The sequence below is a fragment of the Homo sapiens genome, chromosome 2 (genome assembly GCF_000001405.40).
Source record: "Homo sapiens chromosome 2, GRCh38.p14 Primary Assembly".
Taxonomy (NCBI): domain Eukaryota; kingdom Metazoa; phylum Chordata; class Mammalia; order Primates; family Hominidae; genus Homo; species Homo sapiens.
Window position 1 is genome coordinate 205,226,655 of NC_000002.12, and position 22,005 is coordinate 205,248,659.

General features: G+C 37.0%; 1 protein-coding gene across 17 annotated transcripts in view, besides 1 other annotated feature; it reads left to right on the plus strand.

Annotated features, from left to right (window-relative positions):
• PARD3B (par-3 family cell polarity regulator beta) overlaps positions 1–22,005 on the plus strand; it is a 1,074,688-nt gene that overhangs the window by 681,180 nt on the left and 371,503 nt on the right. For all 17 annotated transcript variants that reach the window (XM_047443208.1, NM_001302769.2, NM_205863.4 and 14 more), the window contains one exon: positions 19,124–19,168. In XM_047443208.1, coding sequence (XP_047299164.1) covers positions 19,124–19,168 — 45 coding nt within the window. The remainder of the gene's footprint in view (positions 1–19,123; positions 19,169–22,005) is intronic.
• Positions 8,456–9,655: an enhancer, noted in NCBI's record as "MED14-independent group 3 enhancer chr2:206099834-206101033 (GRCh37/hg19 assembly coordinates)". NCBI's record gives its function as "activates an origin of replication core promoter dependent on BRD2, BRD4, P300/CBP and CDK7 cofactors, and independent of MED14, by STARR-seq in HCT116 cells {active_cell/tissue: HCT116}" and the evidence as "EXISTENCE:reporter gene assay evidence [ECO:0000049][PMID:35650434]".

Sequence of the window (22,005 nt, forward strand, 5' to 3'; positions counted from 1 at the left end):
AATAAGTTCATTGTGGATATATGGATTTCTTTCTAGTTTCTCTGTTCTGTCCCATTAATCTATGACTCTAGTTTTATGCCAGGATCATGCTGTTCTGATTACTTTAGCTGTGTAGTATAATTTGAAGTCAGGTAATGTGATTCCTCTAGTTTTGTTCAGTTTGCTCAGGATGGCTTTGGCTATTCTGGGCCTTTTGTGATATGACATAGATTTTAGGATTGTCTTTTTTTCTGTTTCTGTGAAGAATAGCCAAAGCCATTCTTTCTTAATTGATCCACTGGTCATTCAGGAGTGTATTGGTTAATTTCCATGTGTTTATATTTAGTTTTCAAAATTTATGTCTTTACTGATGTATAGTTTTATTACATTGTAGTCAGAGAATATACTCGATATAATTTCAGGGTTTTTTTTTTGCATATTTTAAGACTTGTTTTGTAGTCTAATGTGTGGTCTACCCTTCAGAATGATCTACGTGCTTAGGAGAAGAATGTGTATTCTGCAGCCATTGTGGGAAATGTTCTATGAACATCTATTTAGTCCATTTGGTCTATAATAGTGAGATTAAATCTGATGTTTGTTGATTTTTCTGTCTCGATGATCTGTCCAATGCTGAAAGTGAAGTGTTGAAGTCTCCAGCCATTATTGTATTGGGATCTCTCTGCCTCTTTAGCTTTAGTAATATTTGCTTCATTTATCTGGGTGTTCCAGTGTTGGATGCATATACATTTATAATTGCTATATCCTTTTGCTGAATTGAGCCCTTTATCATTATATAGTGACCTTCTTTGTCTCTTTTCATAATTTTTGCCCTGAAATCTATTTTGCCTGATGGAAATATACCTACTCCTGCTCTTTTTTAGTTTCCACTGGGATGGGATATCTTTTTTTATCTATTTATTTTCAATCTATGTCTGTCTTCTTAGGTGAAGTGTATTTCTTATAGGCAACAGATTATTGCATCTTTTTTTTTAAATCTATTCAGCCACTCTGTGTCTATTGATTAGAGAATGTAGTCCACTTACAATCAATTTTGTTATTGATAAGTAAGGTCTTACTCTTGCCATTTTGTTATTTGTTTTCTGGTTGTTTTGTGGTCTTCTCATCCTTCTTTCATTCCTTCCTATCTTACTTTTAGTGACAGTGATTTTCTCTGGTGGTATGATTTAATTTCTTTCTTTTTCTTTTTTGTATATCCGTTGTATGTTTTTGATTTGAGGTTACCATGAGGCTTCCAAATACTATCTTATAACCCACTATTTTAAACTGATGACAACACTGACTGCATAAAGAAACAAACTAATAAACAGGCAAAAAGAAGACTAATGAAAATTCTGCACTTTAACTTCATCCTCCTGCTTTTTAACTTTTGATTGTTTCTGTTTATATCTTATTGTACTGTGTATGTCTTAAAAAGTTGTTGTAGTTAGTATTTTTGATCAGTTTATATTTTAGTCTTTCTGCTCAAGGTAAGAGTAGTTTACATGGCACAATTACAATGTTTTAATATTCTGTGTTTTTCTATGTACTTAACATTACTAGTGAGTTTTGTACCTTCAAATAATATCTCATTGTTCATCAATGTCCTTTTCTTTCAGATTGAAGAACTCCCTTTAGCATTTCTTGTAGGACACATCTGGTGTAGATGAAATCCCTCAGGTTTTGTTTGGGAAAATCTTTATTTCTCCTTCACGTTTGAAGGATATTTATGCCAGATATACTATTCTAGAATAAAAAGCGTTCTTTTTTTCCTTCAGCAGTTTAAATATATCCTGTCACTCTCTCATGGCCTGTAGGGTTTCCACTGAGAAGTCTGCTGCAACACTTACTGGAGCTCCATTGTTTATTATTTGTTTCTTTTCTCTTGCTGCTTTTGGGATCCTTTCTGTATCTTTGACATTTGAGGATTTGCTTATTACTTGTCTTGAGGTAGTCTTATTTGGGGTAAATTTGCTTGGTGTTCTATATCTTTCTCTTGGTTTGGGAAATTATCTGTTACGATCCCTTTGAGTAAAAAAATTTACCCTTTGGGTAAATCCCTTTTACCCCTGTCTCTCTCTCTGCCTCCTCTTTAAGGCCAATAACTCTTAGATTTGCTCTTTTGAGGCTGTTTTCTAGATCTTGTAGGTGTGCTTCATTGTTTTTTTATTCTTTTTATTCTCTGACTGTCTTTTCAAATAGCCTGGCTTCAAGCTCACTGATTCTTTCTTTTGCTTGATCAGTTCTGCTGTTAAGAGAATCTCATGCATTCTACACTATGTCAATTACATTTTTCAACTCCAGAATTTCTGTTTGATTCTTTTTAATTATTTCAGTCTCCTTGTTAAATTTATCTGATAGGAGTCTGAATGACTTCTCTTTGTTACCTTGAATTTCACTGAGTTTCCTCAAAACAGCTATTTTGAATTCTGTATCTGAAAGGTCACTTATGTCTGTCTCTCTGGGTTTGGGTCACTTGTGCCTTATTTAGTTCGTTTGGTGAAGTCATGTTTTCCTGGATGGTCTTGAGGCTTGTGATTGTTTATCATTGTCTCAACATTGAAGAGTTAGGTATTTATTGTAGTCTTTGCAGTCTGGGCTTGTTGTACCCATCCTTCTTGGGAAGGTTTTAAATCGGTTCTTGGGGTCATCAATTCCACGCTTTGGCTCTTCAAGGGAATTGAGTGTTGTGACCTTAATCTTCGGCCCCTGCAACCATAACTGCATTAGGGGGCACCCCAAGCCCAGTAATGCTGTGACTCTTACAGACTTGTAGAGGTGCCATGTTGGTGGTCTTGGATAAGATCTGGGAGAATTAATTCCCTGAAATTACCAGGTAGTGACTCTGCTCTCTTCCCTTATTTTCCCCCAAACACATAAAGCCTCTCTCTGTGTGCTGAGCCACCTAGAACCGGTGTAGGGCTGACACAAGCACCCTGTGGCCACTACGACTACCACTGGTACTGTTTGGGGTCAGACCTGAAGGCAGCACAGCACTGGGTCTCTCCCTAGGCTCACAGTAACCACTGCCTGGCTACCACCTACATTTGCTTAGGACACTAGAGCTCCGCAATAAGCAGGTGGTAAAGCCACCCAGGCTTGTGTCCTTCCCTTCAGGACAGCAAGGTCCCCCTGGCCTCGAGTGAGTCCACAGATGCCGTCCAGGAGCCAGGGCCTAGAGTCAGAAACCTTAGATGTCTACCTGGTGCTCCATTTTCTTGAGTCTGAGCTGGCACCAAGCCCCACTTTTCCCTCTTCTTTCCACAAGCAGAGGACTCTCTCCCCACAGCCACCACCACCACGTCCATGGCAAGTACTGCCTGTCTACCACTGATGCTCATTCCAGGTCTAAGGACTCTTCAGTCAGCTCATGGTGAATGCTGCCAGGCCTGGGACTCTCTCTTCAGGGCAGTGGGCTCTCCTCTGGCCCAGGGCAGATCCAGAGATGCTGTCTAAGAGCCAAAGTGTGGAATTGGTGATCCCAAGAACCCGCTTTGTGCTCTATACCACTACGGCTGAGCTGGTACCTAAGGTGCAAGACCAAGTCCCTCTCCTTTTCTCAAGCAGGAGACCCTCTCCGTAGCCACCATAGTTGGGAATGTGCTGGGCCATACCATAAGTTAGCATGTCTCTGAGTCTCACCCAAGACCCATGGCAAGTACTGCCTGGCTACTGCTGCTAATTATTCAGGACCCACATTTTCTTTAGTCAGCAAGTGATGAATCCTACCAGGTCTGGGTTCTCCCCTTCAAAGCTGCGAGTTTCCTTCTGGCAGAGTGTGTGTCTGGAAATGTCATCCAGGAGCTAAAGCCTAGAATGGGGGCCCCAGGACTCTGCCCAGTGCCCCCTACTGTGGTAGAGCTAGGATTCAAGTTGCAAGATGAAGTCCTCTTAACTCTTCCCTCTTTTCTCCTCTAGCAGAAGGCAGGAGTCTCTCCTGGAGCCGTGAGCTGCACTGCCTGGGGTTGGGGGAGGAGTGGTGCAAGCACTGCATTAGCCGCCCAACGGCTGTCTCACTAGGTTATTACCCCCCAAGTCCACTTACTCCAAGCCCAGCACAGCATCAAGACTTGCCCAGTAATTGCAGTCCTTAGGGCCTAGACTACCTTTCAAGTCTGTTTAGGACCCCAGAGCGCTTTAGCCTGCAGTGCCAAGGCTTGGCAGAACTCAGGTTCTGACTGCTGGGATGGGCAATTTCCCTCTGGCTAGGGCTGGTCTGAGTGCTCCCTCCATGGACTCTGGCTGTGTTCTGCCTGGTGTTGCTTTCCACCATGACAGGGTGGAAAGCACTGAGTTCCAGTGCAAAGTCTCCAATCACTATGCTCTCCCTCCCCAAGGTGCACAGATTCTGTCTGTACCATGTGTCTTCTTCAGGGGAGTGGAGGACGTGGGAGTGGTGGTGTCAGCAAATCAAGACTGTCTTTCCTATCCCCTTCAGTGCCTTTTTCAGTGATATGAAGTAAAAGTGGTTACTGTGATCACTCACCTGATTTTTGGTTCTTATGAAGGGGCTTTTTCATGTGTCTAGTAGTTCAATTCGGTGTGCTTGTGGGGAGGATTATCAGTGGAAGCTTCTATTTGGCTCTCTTACTCCTCATTACGTTTTAAGACTTAAGTGGTCTTAGGGCCATTGGTTGTATGATTTAGAAGGCTGTAGTTATAAGAATAAAGATGTTTCATATGTTAAGTAGATTAACTATTTTTTTTTTTTTTTGAGACAAGGTCTCACTCTGTTGCCCAGTCTGGAGTACAGTGGTGCAATCATGGCTCACTGCAGCCTCGACCTCCTGGGCTCAAGCAGTCCTCCCACCTTAGCCTCTTGAGTAGCTGGGACCACAGGCACATAACACCATGCCCAACTAATTTTTGTATTTTTTTTTTTTTTTTGTAGAGATGGGGTTTTGCCATGTTGCCCAGGCTGGTGTCAAACTTCTGGACTCAAGTGATCCACCTACCTTGGCCTCCCAAAGTACTGGTATTACAGATGTGAACCACTGCACCCAGCCAGATTCACTATTTTTAAACTTATTTCTGGAAAATTAATACCATACTATGAAGCTTGATGTAAAATTAATATCACAGTTTTCAGTTATTGAGTCTAAGAAATGGAGCTATGAGTCAGGGAAAGCAAGGGGGTTAGAGTGTACAGAGAAACATACCAGAGAAGAGAGATCTGCATAGCGTGAACTCCACGTATAGTTGGAGGGTTTTCCTTAAGTATTGCACAGAGTATTCATCAGAGCATGCATGTAGGGAACTACCAAGGCTAGGCCAAAAGGATTCAAGAAGCAGTACCCAGAGCACACTCAAGAGTGAGACCAATGTTTGTTCCCACCCACAAGATTGGAGAAAATATCTCATAATCCGTAGGACATTGGATAAGGTATGCAAGAGGCCATTGCCTCTGTTGTACAGCACAATCAGCATAGAGTAAATGCTGCTATAGTCCTGCCTAGCAGATCATAAAGGCAAGACTCAAGAGGATCACTCTTTCCAAGTAACTATATTCCAATGACATTTTAAAAAATTACAGGAAGGGCTAAGCACAGTGGCTCATGCCTGTAATTCCAACATTTGGGGAGGCAAAGGTGGGAGGATTGCTTGAGGCCGAGAGTTTGAGACCAGCCTGGGCGATATAGTGAAACCCCTACGCACACACACAGAGTGTAAATATTAGCCAAGCATAGTGGCACACACTGTAGTCCTAGCTACTTGGGAGGCTTGAGGCCAGGAGTTCAAGGTTGTAGTAAACTGTGATTGTGCCACTGTACTCCAACTTGGGTAGCAGAGCCAGATCTTATCTGTAAAAAAGTTTTAAATACAAAAAGTGTATTTAAAATTACAGGAATATATATGACACAAAAAGGTAAAATTTCTAATATCTGGAATCCAATAAAATATTAATATGCATGTAAAGAAATAAGACATATAATAAGGAAAAAAATTAGTTAAAACCAGAACTGACACAGATGTTAGAATTAGCAGACAAAGACATTTAAATTATTATAGTTGTATTTAATACATTCAAAAGCCAAAGGAAAATTGATCATATTAAGTATAGCTATGGAAGATATAAAAGAAGACCCAAATCAAATTTCTAGAAAAGAAAAGTTTAATATCTGAGATGTAAAATACTCTGGATGAGAGTAACAGCAAATTAGACATTGCAGGAAACCAGACAAGTGAATATGAATACACACAGTAGAAATATACAAACTGAAAGGAAAAAGACACACAGAATTGAACAGTGAATTGTGGGGCAACTTCAGGTGGTTTCAGATACATGTAATTGGATTCACCAAATGAGAGAAAAACAGGGACAGAGAAAAAATATCTGAGAAAACAATGGTCAACATGTTTTCGAATGTAATGAAATCTGGAAACTCAAATTCATGAATCTCAAATGAACCTCTAAGTACAGACACAAAAAATGAGGAAACCACACCAAGGCACATTATAAACAATTTGCTGAAATCATGGTTAAAGAGAACATCTAAAAAACAGGACGACACATTTCATACAGAGAAAAAAAGAGGAACAGCAGCAGATTTCTCACAGGAAAAATACAAAGGTGTCATCGTGTAACAGTATCTTTAAAATATTGAAAGAAAAATACTATTCAACTAGAATTCTTTAACTAGCAAAAATATTTTTCTAAAACAAAGAATTTTCCAGAAATACAAAAGTTGAAAGAGTAAATCACCAACAGGTACACTATATGACATGTTAAAGGAAGGCTTTCTGGTAGAAGAAAAATGGTACCAGATAAAAATATGGATCTACATAAATGAAGATAATCAGAAATTATAATTACTTGGATGAATGTGTTTTAAAATTTTCCTTATTTAAATATAAGGTTAATTGTTTAAACAAAAATAATGACAATGTAGAATGGGGTTTTTAAGACATATAAAAATATATTATTTTTATATGACAATAACAGCACAGAGGCTGTGAGGGGAGACATTGAAATACAGATCCCTCTCTATTTATGATGGGGTTACGTTCCAATAAACCTATCATTAAGTTGAAAATAGTATAAGTAAAAAATGTGTTGCTACCAAACATCATAGTTTAGCCTAGCCTGCCTTACATGTGCTCAGAAAACTTATATTACCCTACAGTTGGGCAAAATCATCTAACACAAAGCCTATTTTACAATATACTGTTGAAAATCTAATGTAAGTTATTAGATACTGTACTGAAAGTGACAACAGAATGGTTATGTAGTTACTTAAAATATGTTTCTACTTAATGCATATGACATTGCAAAGCCAAAAAATCATACACTGAACCATTTTAAGTTGATGAACTGTCTGTAAGTCTATATACTATTGTAAGATATACATAATAACAAAAGAACACTCTAATAATAATACAAAAAATACCCAAAAGAGGCAGAGTAGGGGAAAGGGAAGAAAGAACAGATAGGACAACAGCAAGATGGTATGTTCAAGATCAACCATAACAATAGTCACATTAAATATATATGTTAGACCATAAAAGGCAGAAATGGTCAATTGGATAAAAAAGGCAAGTCATGGCCAGACATGGTGGCTCATGCCTGTAATCCCAGCACTTTGGGAGGCTGAGGCAGGAGGATCACTTGAGCCCAGGAGTTCAAGGCTACAGTGAGCTGTGATCATGGCATTGCTCTCCAATATGGGCGCCACAGCAAGTCCCACTTTAGAGACACAAGTAACTTAAAAGTAAAAGGAAGGAAAAAGACATACCCTGCTAACATTAATGAAGAGACTACTAGAATGGTCACATTGATATCAGAGAAAGTAGATTTCAGAAAAATATTACCAGAAATAGAGTCCTTTCATAGCTTTAATGGAACCAAATCATCAAAACAATGTAATTATTCTAAATGCTTATGCACCTAATAATAGTGCTTCAAAAAATAAGAGAAAAATACATCAAACAACAGGAAAAATAGGCAAATCCAAAGTTATAGTCAAAGATTTTGACACTATGTCTCAATAATTAATAGAACAAGTATACCAAAAAATCAATAAGGCTATAGAAGATTTGAACAATATTATCAACTATCTTGACCTAATTAACGTTTATAGAACACTCTGCACAACAACTGAATACACATTTTTTTTCAAGAGCACATAGAACATTTAACAGGACATACCGCATTCTGGACTATTAAAAAGTCTTAAAAGTTTTGAAAGAATTCAAGTCATACAACATATATTCTGTCAGCATAGTAAAATTAAATTAGAATTCAATAGCAGAAAGAAATCTGGAAAATCTGCAAATACTTGGAAAATAAATTATATACTTCTTAATAACACATGGATCAAAGAAGGAAGCCAGAGAGAAATTAGAAAGTATTTGAACTACATGAAAATAAAAACACTTCCTATAAAAATGTGTGGGATAAGAAAAATTGTGAGATGTCACTAAGAGGATAATTTATAACACTGAACTTAGAAAAGGAAGAAAGATTTCAAATAAATGACCTCAGCTTTCACTTAAAAAAATGGTAAGAGAGGCTGTGTGAAATGGCTCACACCTGTAATCACAGCAATTTGGGAGGCTGAGGTGGGCAGATCATTTGAGCGTAGGAGTTTGAGACCAGCCTGGGCAACATGACTAGACCCCATCTATACTGAAAATACAAAAAGTTAGTCGGGCATGGTGGCATTTGCCTGTAGTCCTAGCTACTCGGGAGGCTGACGTGGGAGAATCACCTGAGCCTGGGAAGTCGACGCTGCAGTGAGCTGAGATCACACCACTGCACTCCAGCCTGGACAATGAGAATGAGAACCTGTCTAAAAAGAAAACAGAAAAAGTAGAGTACAGTAGTCTCCACCCCCCTTGTCTACAGGGGATATGCCCCAGGACCCCCAGTGGATGCCTGAAACTGAGTATAGTTCTGAACCCCATAGTGCTGTAGAGGATAGTACTATACACCACAATGGATCTGATAACCAAAATGCTTACTAAGTGACTAATACACAGGTACATATACAGTGCGGCTACTGTGCACAAAGGGGATGATTAATGGTTTGAGTGCAATGAAGCAAGATGGCACAAGATTTCATCACACTACTCAGAACAGTACACAATTTAAAAAGTGTGAATTGTTTATTTCTTGAATTTTCCATTTAATATTTTAGACTATGATTGACCATAGGTAACTGAAACCAAAGACAGCAGAACCATGGATAAGGGGAGGCTTTACTGTAAATTCAATCCAAATTAAGCATAAGAGAAATAAAAATTAGAGCAGAAATCAATGCGTTAGAAAAAATTTGGTAAAGTCATAGAAACCAAATGCCAGTTTTCTTATAAAGTCAATAAACCATTAACCAGACTGATTAGTATAATATAAAACAAGACGTGTGAACATTATTAGGTTTGAGAGAGGGGACATCAGTACAGATTTCACAGATATTCAAAGGATGTTAAGGCAATATTATGCACAATAAATTTGACAACTAAAATGTAATGGACAAAGATTTTGAAAGATTCAAATGATCATATTCATGCAAGAAGAAATAAATAGTGTGGAAACCTTGTAGATATTAAAGAAACTGAATTATAGCTAAATACTTTCTCACACAGGAAACTCCAGGTACAAATGACTTCACTGGCAAATTTGACTTGTTTCATAAAAAGAAATAATAACAATTCTACAGACATTCTTCCAGATAAATAAAGAGGAGTGAATATTTCCCCAACTCATTCTATGAAGCCAACATTACTCTGATACCAAAATCAGACAAGGACATTAGAAAAAAAAATTTAGATTGATATCCTTCTTGAATTGATGTAAAAATTTGGCACACACACAGATGAAAGACTGTGTGAAGACACAGGGAGAAGACAGCCATCTACGAGCCAAGGAGAGATGCCCCAGGAGAAATCAGCACTGCTCACAGGTTGATCTTGGACTTCTATCCTCCAGAAATGTGAGAAAATAAATTTGTCCAAGCCACCCTCAAAAATAAAAACTAATAAAAATTTAGTGAATTGAACCCAACAATATATAAAAAAGATAATATATCATGACCAAGAAGATTTTATCCCAGGAATACAATGTGACTTTAACATTTGAAATTGATCAATGGACACATATTAACAGACTAAAACAGAAAAAGCATAACCATATGATCATATGGTGGACACATCACGTTACTGACATCACTGATCAGTCGCAGTGACATCAGTCACATCAGTGGACACAGAAAAAATACTTGATAGAATCTAATGTCATTTAATGAAAGTTTTATACACATTTAAAGAGTACTATTTGGGGACAAATTTGTCGTATAAAGAAGTGCAAGAGAATTATAAAGTACAACATTCAGGATTGTGGTTACCTCTGAGCAAAGAGGGAAAGGAATGGCACTGGGTTGAAACACCCATAGTGCTTCAAAGATAAAATAATATTTTTCTTCAACACAGTGGTTGATACACAGTGTTTGCTTAAACCCTTTGTTTGTTTGTTTGTTTGTTTGTTTTTGAGACAGAGTTTTGCCCTTGTCGTCCAGGCTAGGGTGCAATGACGCGATCACTGCTCATTGCAACCTCCGCCTCCCAGGTTCAAGCAATTCTCCTGCCTTAGCCTCCCAAGTAGCTGGGATTACAGGCCTGTACCACCACGCCAGGCTAATTTTTTTATATTTTCAGTAGAGACGGGGTTTCACCATGTTGACCAGGCTAGTCTTGAATGCCTGACCTCAGATGATCCACCCGACTCGGCCTCCCAAAGTGTAGGTGGGAGCCACCACACTCAGCCAGTTGTTATCCTTTATACCTTACACATATTGGTATTTTTTCATGCTTTAATATTTAGTAAAAGCAATTTTTAAAGCTAGTATTTCTGTTCTTGGCCTTTTTCTGAAATTATCATACCAGAAAGACATTTATTTCCTGTATTTACAGCTTTGGAAACTCATAACATTTGCAGGTTGAAAGAAGAGCTGTTTGTATGAAGTATTCAGTTTTTTTTAGAAATATAGTGTGATTTTTCTATAAACAGAGGGAACTGGTATTTCAAGTATACTACGTGAAGAACAAGAGTGTGATTAGAGCCAACAAGCCAAAAAATAGAGAGGAATCACTACCCTAGTGGTCAGTTATATATAACCGAGAGAAAGACAGCAAAGTGAGACTAGCCTGCTAATCATATATTTTTCTACATTTCTAAAGTTCATTACTCAAAATACAAGTGAATTATATTTATTCCAAACAGTTCTGTTACGTTTTGGTCTTTATTTAGACCTGTCCCAGAATTGGACCCCAATTACCTTCTCCTACCCTTCCTTGCTAGGAACTTGTCTGAAAATTCTGCCACAAGAATTTTACAGTGTTTAAATACATTTACACTACACCATTCCTATAATTATATATATCTCACAATGAACAGTTGTCTCATTCATGAGTCTAGAATCCTTTGCTGAATGGACATGCCCAAATTTGGTGTCATTTATTTATTCTTACACATGCCGCATTCACTCAGCAGACATTAATGAGTACCTGAGCGGTGCTAGACGTGGTACTAGGCTAAAATGGAAAAACAAGACAAATGCCCTGCTGAAGGTGTTTAATGTGAAACAGACCCGTGCACAAATAATTGAGATATTTGCAATTCAGAAGAAATAGTATGTGTTACTTAGATTTTGTACCTAAGTACAAAGTTGCATGGCCTACTTAAAAACCTTCTTCTATAGCCAGGTGCAGTGGCACCGGCTGTCATTCCATCTACTTGGGTTGCTGAGGCAGGAGGATCACTTGAGTGCAGGAATTTGAGTCCAGCCAGGGCAACATAGCAAGATCCCTGTCTCTAAATTTTTTTAATAAATAAAAATGTTTAAATTTGTATAATGTAAAAATGTTTAATGTTGTGTAGTAAGGTAAAATTCTATTTAAAAACAATAATAAAAAATATTTCTGGGCTGGGTGCGGTGGCTTACGCCTGTAATCCCAGCACTTTGGGAGGCTGAGGCGGGTGTATCACCTGAGGTCAGGAGTTCGAGACCAGCTTGACCAACATGGTGAAACCCCGTCTTTACTAAAAATACAAAAATTAGCTGGGCCTGGTGGCAGGCGCTTGTAATCCCAGATACTTGGGAGGCTGAGGCAGGAGAATCACTTAAACCCAGGAGGCAGAGGTTGCAGTGAGCCAAGATCGCACCATTGCACTACAGCCTGGGCAACAAAAGCTAAAAAACTCCGTTTCAAAAAAAAAAAAAAATATATATATATATATATATATATATATGTATGTGTGTATATATATATATATATATATATGTATGTGTATATATATATATGTATGTGCATATATATATATATATATCTGATGTGCTAGAGTACAGAAAAGCTGGCAAAAGTGGTGAGATGTGAAAGGCTATCATAATCTATTTGTGAACACCTACTTCTGTTAGGTTTCATGATAAATTTTTACATCAAGTTGTCTCATCCTATGAGGCCTTATCTACATTTTACAAATAAGTTCAGTAAGCTTGAAAAAAGACTCAGTAATTAAATCATACTCACAGATGTAATTAGCATCAGAATCCAGGGCCTTTTAAGGTCAAAGCTTGGGATCTTCCTTTTTATTTTCATGCTACTCCCTTCCCCAGGAGTAAAGGTGTTCTAGGTGCTAAAAGGCATTTTTGCTCCTCCCAGATCAATTGATGCAAATAATTATTCACCTAAAACCTTTATTGTCTTTATGAACCTTCATGTCTGTCTGACCTTCCACTCTTCCTGAAGCATATCTTTTTCTTAATGAAACTATTTAACATATTTTATTCTAACAAATATGTCATTTGTATCTCCTCATTAGACCATGGGGTTGAGTATCTGATTCTTTTAAGAAAAACAGTGTGTACTGAATGGATTAAAACAAATTAACAAATTTATGAAGGAATTACTTGGATTTTCCAATATTCTTTAATGAGCTAAAGATGACAGTGTAAGAACATATGAAAAGTATTGGATTTTCGCAACTTTCAATTTAAGACTTTCTAAGGTTCATAGAGAAAGAAAAGGAATTTTAAAGAGATCACTGAAGAGTTGTGAACATATGGATAGTTGGATAACGATGAAGGGAATAAGCCCTCCTTTTTTACCCTATGTCACCATGGCTGAGAGATGCATTATGATATTGGAAAAAAATTTCAGCTGCTGAGTTCTGATTAGCTCACTCTCAGAGCTGCAGCACATTCGAGATGGAACACAGTGCTTTTGGGAAAGCTTGCTAAGATAAATGAGATAAATGTTTGCACCATTATACTAATTCCCTAGCCCCCTTTTCAGCAAAAGCCTTGTTTTGTGTGTGTGGGTGTGGGTGTGTGTTTGTGTGTGTGTGTGTTTCAATAGATGGAAGAATTTTTTAACACATGAAAACTCACATTGCTGAAAACTCAAAAAGTCTTCCTAAGCAGAATCATTATGCCAAATTGTCATTGACATACGAAAACACTATAGATTAATGCAGTAATAGTTCATGGTTGCTCAGGAAGAAACTTAATTTACAATTTGAAACAGGTTTGCATTCCTTAGAAATTCTGGAAATCAATCAGTGGCACAGAAATTGATCTGCTAAAGGAGAGGAAAATTGATTTTTAATATTGGCAACTACATCAATTTTTTTAAGTTCTGAAGGAACAACTCTTGAAAACAAATTTATTAACTGTTAAGGGATTACTTGATATTTAGTTTCCTAGCAAACTATCCAAAGAGAAGTATTTATGGCCTCATTAGAAGATGTATTTTTATTGTGCCAAACATCAACTTCAAAATTGCAGTCTCTATTATTTCAAAGATATGGAAATCAAAAATTAAATGAAATGGAGTTATCTATATAAGACTACCATTGCATCATATTTTAGAGTGGTACTTTGCCTCAAAGTATCTCAATATGAATAGTGAGAATCTGAACACATTTGCATATTCCCCATTCGTGATATAGTGTTGGCATTCTAAAAAAGAATAACTGTAGCTGATGGCAATTTTTATCTGAAGAGACTTGTGCATGATAGCAATATACAATCTTCTGTCAGCATAAGAAGAGCATCTGGGGCCCATTAACTCACCAAATCTGCCACTGTTCTGCAAATTTTTATTAAGCAAGTGTAGTCCCTAATAGTCACTTATGTTATAGAATGCGTATCAAATGCTATCAATAAGCAAGGGGATTGTTTTCCCCCAGTGAGAATGCATTTGAAGTGTATAAGAAAGCTTGACAAAAGAATAAAACACTTTAAGTGATCACTATATTAATATAAATGTATCCTACTGGGAAGCCAATGTGTGTAAGTATTATGTGCACTTTGATGTTTGCCACTAACTAGTTCTCAGAGTGCCATCTTTTTCATAGATTTTTTCCCCTGTATTTTCTTTCTCTCAATTCTAATGATGAACTGGTTGAAATTAAGTGAAAAGACACAGACTGTTTATTTATGCTTTTTAAAAAGATGCCATTGATGCTGGGCAGTTCTAATTAGCTTCAAAGGCTTACAACCATGAGAATTAGAAACATAGGCCATCAGGCTGCTGTTTCTCAAACAAGTCTTCCTGAATCAGAGAACACACCAGGAAATTAACAAGCATCCAAGCCAAAGAGTGTCCTCTTTATTAAGCACCTTATGATAATTAGGTAAAATAATGTACATCAATCTTGAATTGAATATGAGGAAGCATGAGGTTAGTCTAGAAATCCTATTATCTAAATAAATCGGAAGAAAGATCAAGAGGAGGCAGTCCATGGTACTCTCTAAGTATGTAATAATGGTTATAATAAAATAACAGTTATAAAAATATTTATGAATTGCAGCTTCAGAAACCTGAGCATTTCATTGGTATCTCTTCAATTATTGTAATATCCATTTACGATAATCAAGAGCAAGTAGTACCAGTCCTTGGGTAAAACTGAAGGATAAGAAAGGGAATGAAATAACCTTTAAATACAAATACTTTTTTAAAAAAGAAAGAAGAAAGAAAAGGAGAAAAAATTCTGTCATCAGAACGAGAACAAGAAACTTAGACTCTTGCTCCATCAACACTCTCTTACTCAATGCTTTTAATTAATACTTTACTGTTTTGGAATCAAAGACCTTTCCCACACCAGGCCCATTTATTTTTCAATCTCTTGTAAATAAGTCCTTTGTTTAAAATGACACACCTGTCACATTTCATATCACTACCATTCCAATCACTGTGCTAAATATTATGCAGTGAAACTACTAGACGTAAGCTTAAGCCCCAAGAGATAATTTTAATAGTAGCTCTAAGTTAATGTGAGTTATAAAGGAAGTTGGTATTAATTATAACACTTGCCATTTAAAAAAAAACTTGGTGGCATGTGTAATTTTACCTCATTTTCTCATTTGCTACTGTTATTTAAATTACTTCCCAGCACTAAGCATGTGTATAAAAGATGATTGTTCCAAATTTAACCTTTTAAATAAAATGTATTCTATCAATTAAGTCATTATAGTTCCCTCTCTTTTCCATTATGTTTATTCATTTATCTTCTGTCCTAAAGATAGACATCTGTGTCAGTGAATATTTCAGAGAAAGGCCTCTAATTTTTATGCCTATCACCCATTTGGATTTTCTACAATGTTTTTCAAATAGTTTATATTAGTGTTTGATATAATTTCAAATTGTCAATTAAAATAATGATAAGTATAAGAAATAATAAATATTATTCAGCCAAAAAGTTAAGAAGATAATTTGTTAAGCCTAATATGGCCAGGGAATTTGCAAGTACTTAAATCAGCTTAGATTTTTTAAAAAAGATAAAAACAAAGCAGCAAAAGCCTTACCTTTGTATGAATCCCTTCTTCTGAATGACTATACATAATAAAACCGTACAGTCTAGTGTACTTTCATTGCCTTTCTTCCACTGCAGGATGATTTAGGAGCCAGGTAAATTGCTAGGTCGTATCTTTTGTGGTTGTGGAATGATCCATACAATAACAATGTAAAAGTACCTAGTGCCCGGCTGAAGCATAGTATGTTCTCAATTATTTTCTCTCTTTAGTTCTTTATAATCCTGAGCAAATTAAATCACGTACCCCACAACCGTCATCAAATACACCACCTTTACCACTCTCACAACTTCCATTTATCAAATGTTTTCATTTATTGAGAATTATGTGTCTGGAACTGTGCAAAGTGCTTTTGTACATTTTTTTTCATTTAGTTCCAACTCTCTGTGTACTGTTTTTTCCCCCATTTCTCATATGGAGAAACTAAAGCTAAAAAGAACTTAGTGGCCGGGCGCAGTGGTTCACGCCTGTAATCCCAGCGCTTTGGGAGGCCAAAGCAGGCGGATCACCTGAGGTCAGGAGTTCGAGACCAGCCTGACCAACATGGAGAAACCCCGTCTCTACTAAAAATACAAAATTAGCAGGGCATGGTGGCACATGCCTGTAATCCCAGCTACTCAGGAGGCTGAGGCAGAAGAATTGGTTGAACTCGGGAAGTGGAGGTTGCAGTGAGACGAGATCGTGCCATTGCACTTTAGCCTGGGCAACAAGAGCGAAACTCCGTCTCAAAAAAAAAAAAGGAGCTTAGTAACTTGCCTGGTAATGCTGGCATTCAACCCACATCTGTCTGATTACTAGCTATGATGTTAGTCTCTCTTTCTATTTTGTTTCTCATTAATGATGATGACAGTAGTTCATATTTATTAAGTACTTATTCTGTTGTCTTCTAAGTACCTTGCATATATTTGCACATGTAATCATCACCACAAACCTGTGGGGTAAGCAATATCCTCTTATGATGAGACTGAGGCCACAGAAAGTTAAAATGATTTGCACAAAACTGTTGTTTCCAAACAAGGATTCCAATTCAGAAAGATTATTTCTCATCTGTAGAATGAGAATGGATATTTTAGCTTGAACCCATCAGAATCATCAATTTCAAAACATGTTAAACAAAATTATAGCTAACATTTAGTAAGCTTGGTCACCACAGAAAGATAACTATTAATAGCATATATTCAAATAAAGAGAGTAGTTTTCCAGCATATAGTTAGTTGCGTTGTCTTATATTCCAGGTTTCTCAGGTAATGACTCTTCTGTGACTCTTATCACAAGTGTAATGGAGTGGTTAAGAGTGCCATATTTAAGTTCAGGCTTCTCCATTTATGAGGTGTATGTCAGTTTCTTTATCTGTAATATAAGGATAGTAATAATAATACTTTCCAGGTCGTTGTGAGAATCGAATGAATGAATAGATACAAAGTGCATAGCATAAAACCTGTGTATTACAAGTACTCAGAAAATATGAGTTCCTATGGTTATTTTTAATCATTATCATTGTTTTCTAATGCTTTTCTACTTACAGTGTAGATTGATTCTATGTAAGTGCTTTTTAGGCCTGAGAAAAACAGAATTTGGCTCACAACTGGTGCCTTATAAATACTTACCTCCCAACTAGAAATAAAACAAAAAGTCTAACAATATTTTTAAGCAGTTGGGAACAGAATAATCACAGATATGTAGTGCTTTTATCTAGAAAATAAAGAAATAGCTTAGAAAAGGAGGGCTAGGTGGGAGTGGGAAGATTATGTATAGTAACTGGGTCAATTAAGACTGAATGTTGTGGGCAGAGAAAAAAAGGGACATGTTACTCTGAGATCAATCTAGTGTTAGGCGAAATGGAAGAGATTCTTCTTGTTAGCAAATTTCCCCTCGCCTTGCTTCAACCCTTGAGACCACAGTTTTGTGTACTAACATAGACAGTGGCACATGGTAATAAACAGCTTTTGTTGAATATTAAAGTGATGATCTATGCAGAGATGCTTAAGGATTAAGAACTTTGCATCTGTGTTCATGAAGGATGTGGGTTAGCAGTTTTCATATCATGTATTTTTCTGATATTAGTTAGTATCTGGGTAACACTAGCCTCATAGAGTGGCTTGGGAAATCCTCTCTCTTTCTAATACATTTTCTGTAGAATTGGTCTTATTTATTTCTTAAATGTTTGGTAGAATTCACCAGTGAAGCCATCTGGGCCTAGAGTTTTGTTTGTGGGAAAGTTTTACTTATAAACACATTTTTTTTTTCAAAAAACTACTATAGGGCGACCCATGTTATCTAATTCTTCCTATATGAGCTTCAGTAATTGTGTCTTTTAAAAACGAATCCGTTTCATCAGAGCTCCATTAATCTAGAGTTAGTTTTTCCCCGCTGTTGAGGCAAGACCCTTCTTCACATTCAAATGGATGCCCTTCAGTTATGAAGTTTTCTACTCTGGCTGTTGGAAATAGGCACTATTCCCAGCCCTGTGTGAACTTCGGATGCTGTTCCTCTTCCAGTTTGGAATGGTTCTTTGCCAACTCTTGGGTTAATTTTCTTACACACATATGATCATCAGTATTCAACTACATATATGAGGAGATTTTTCTGAAGATAGTATTGCTCTTTCCTCTCTGGTTCTCTGCTCTGCAACCTCTGTCTGCTTTGGCTTCCTGGGATGCCCAGCACCATGCCCTCAAGCTGGGGCCATCACTGTTCTGCTTGGGTGTTGGCTTTCCCGCACGGCTGCCTGGAGGCTTTCTTCAGAGAATAAGCTGGGGCAATTGTAAAGTTCACGTCATTTGTTTTCCATCTCTTGGGATCACTGCATTTTGTTGCCTAATGTCTAATCTGTTGAATGCCATTGTTTCTTGTTTTGTCTAGTTTTTAAAATTGTTTCAAGGGGAATTACAAATCTGTTCCCTTTTACTCTATTTTGACTAGATAACAGAAGTCTAATTCTTAAGTATTTAATATACACACAGACACACACACGTATTGCTGTTATGCTGAAAGAATTTTATTATATTGTATACATCCCTGGGTCTATGAATTTGGTTTCTCCTCTTGTAAATGTGGAAGAAACAACCCAGTTAAAATAACTGAAAGTATTGAAAATTATGAGAAAATGAAGTTATGTTCATAAAAGATCTAATAAACATATATTTATTCATAGCTGTCTTCAAGATATCTACCAATAAAAGTGAGGTATCCCAGGGTAGGCTGGGAGAAAAAAATGTTTCTCAAATCTCTGCCAGTAAAAGATTTAACTTATTATGAATCTGCATTAATTTACTGTTTAAAAATTGTCTGATTTACAAGCCGGTCTGATCCTTGTCTCTTTTATTTCTTCTCCTCAGTGCCAGATGAAAGCAAGGTTCACTCATTGGCTGGACAAAAATCGGGTAAGAAATTCCTTGTAACTGACTATATTCCTCTTCCTGGAAATCACTGGCTGTGTTTTAGTAGCAGTTGGAACCTGTTTCTATCCACTAGTCACTGAAAGGCTTTCTAATTAATACATGAGATGTCTCTGACTTCCACAAAGATGACTTATTGCTTGGCTGTGTGTATAGTGGCATAATGTATGCTGACTCAGAATGTTTGGGAGGAAAGAATAAAGATTTCCAAAAAGATATATAAAACCAAAAATCTTAAATCTGTACTCTAGCTAAACACTTAAAAAAATTGCAAGAAAACCCAAGAAAGTTCAAGATTCTTTCCCATGATGACTTTCATATTTAAGTGGCGGGACAGAGAATTCCAGAATAAGAAAGATACGATCATTTTTTTCTCCTCAAAAAAGAATAGGATTTTTTTTCTTTTTTTTTTTTCTGCCTGTCATCAAAATGGATTGTTCCAGGGATGTATGCATTATTTTTATTTAGAGACATGAATGAGCTCCCTAGATATTCTCTAGGAAGTCCACAAAAATTTCTAAGGATCTCTTAGGTCTTTATCATGTGTGAGTTACCTTCACTCCTAAAATCCAAGCTGTTTTTTCATTGCCAAGTCGACTGCCTTCTATTCCTTTTTCCTTCCTCCATCATCATTTATTCACATTAGTTGAAAACATTTAAAGCTACTAAGCTAGCAAATAGTGGAGTAATCCCTTTCCTCTAGGGGCACATTGTTTTGGAGGAGAAAATGTCCATTTTGCTCATAGCATTGCCCCTCTAAACAACAGAAGGATTATGATTTTCTGACATCCCTCCATTGGTGAAACAAAGAAGTCTTTCCCATCACCAAGTGTCTCCCGTGTTTGTGTGCCAATTATGTTTTCAGCAGTAAGTGGCCTTGATGCCTCATTACCTCCATCATGTTCCAGGGCAAGATTATGATTTTTTTCCTTTCTTCTTTCTCCAGATTCTCTTGTGATAACAGCAGGGAAGGGCTGGTTCACAACTCTTAGATTTTTTTTTCTTGCTTTTCCTAATAAAAAGCCTAAGAAGTTAGATCACTGTGAAAGAGATTTCTATGGGAGTGATAAATTGCCACATGCTCCTTGCTCCCAACATCCTCTTCCATTAAATTCTCTACTACTGGACATATTTTTAGGAGCTTCAGAAGGAAGTTCTCATGACCAGGGAACCCCAAGGATAATCTATAATATCTTCATCTTAAATACATTCTACTGCTTATAGTTCTCTTATACATATTGTTATAATACCTGAAGATGAAAAGCCTTTTCTTAGTACTGGGATAGGCTTCAAGGCAAAAAGTTGAAGTCCTTTTCTGGAATTTTTATCAATTTGGTTTTTGAAAATGAGCAAATAATAAATTTTCTGGCTTTTTCCAGGAAATCAAATCTTATTCTAACCTTAATTTCCAAGCACACTACTATTAGGTGGCAATTAAAAGTTTGTCACTCTTTTTAGATGAGAACTTTGTCATCTTTGTATATTGCCATAACATTTTATGTAAATTTCAATGATCTGTCTTTACATAGTATGATATAAAATATTAATAAAGAATTATGCTAAGTGCAAAATTTGAAATAATAATCTTCCAAAAAAGTTTTAGTCAAAAATGGCAGAATTTTAAAGCTGTCACACAGGTTCATTGCAAATTCCATACAGCAACTTCACTTTAGCTGATAGAAATAGTTCCAACAGTCTTTATGTCACATGAACCACACTGTTTAAATACTTCTGATGTTTTAAAGAATATTTCTGTTACTAATTAGTACTGTTATTCCAACATGCACTATTTTTATATTTTTAAGTGCTATTATAACGTTATTACTACTTCACGTTTTTCATTGGGCATCTGTAGAAATGCTGAAAAATAACCAGCCACTTGATAACTTTGGAGCAAAAGTGGCCTGCAATGAAGAGGGCTAAACAATCACCAAAAACCATATACTGTAGAGTCACATTAAATGAGAGCATCTTGTAAAACACTAGAAACGGTTCTGAGAAAGCACAGAGCAGCATTAGAGGAACATACTCAAATAAGGTTCAAAATTTATGTACTCTAAGAACATACCCTTCCCCATTTTTTGTTTTTTGTTTTTTGTTTTTGTTTTTGAGACAGAATCTCTCTCTGTCACCCAGGCTGGAGTGCAATGCCATGATCACAGCTCACTGCAGCCTCAACTTCCCTGGCTCAGGTGATCCTTCCACCTCAGCCTCCCGGATAGCTGGGACTACATGTGCATGCCACCATGCCCAGCTAACTTTTATTTTTATTTTTATTTTTTTTGTAGAAATGGGATTTTGCCTTGTTGCCCAGGTTAGCGTCAAACTCTTCTGGGCTCAAGCAATCCACCTGCCTTAGCTTCCTAAAGTGCTGGGATTACAGGTATGAACCACAGAGCCTGGCCACTCCCCCAATTTTTTACATTTCTTTCTTTTGGAAAATTAGTCTTGAATTATAATGATCCTCAGGAACTCACCCCTCACATAAAACATAGCTCCCCTCTGTGCGTTGCATTTACGTGAAGGGATATCTCATTGGGATTTGGTGGTGGTGGTGGTGGTGGTGGTGGTGGTGGTGGCGGCAGCAGCAGCAGCAGAGGGTTAAGGGTTCTCTTGATTCTAACAACCTCTTTCAGTTACAAAATCATTTTTTAAATTCATTTAAATTCACCTGTAGTCTCAGTCGGCTACAGGTCATCTGTGACCACTAAGCAAGTTACCAGGTTGTATTTTAACTTATAAATCTCTACTTGTCTCACCATTCTTTTTTTTTTTTTTTTTTTTTTTTTGAGACGGAGTGGCTCTGTCCGCCAGGCTGGAGT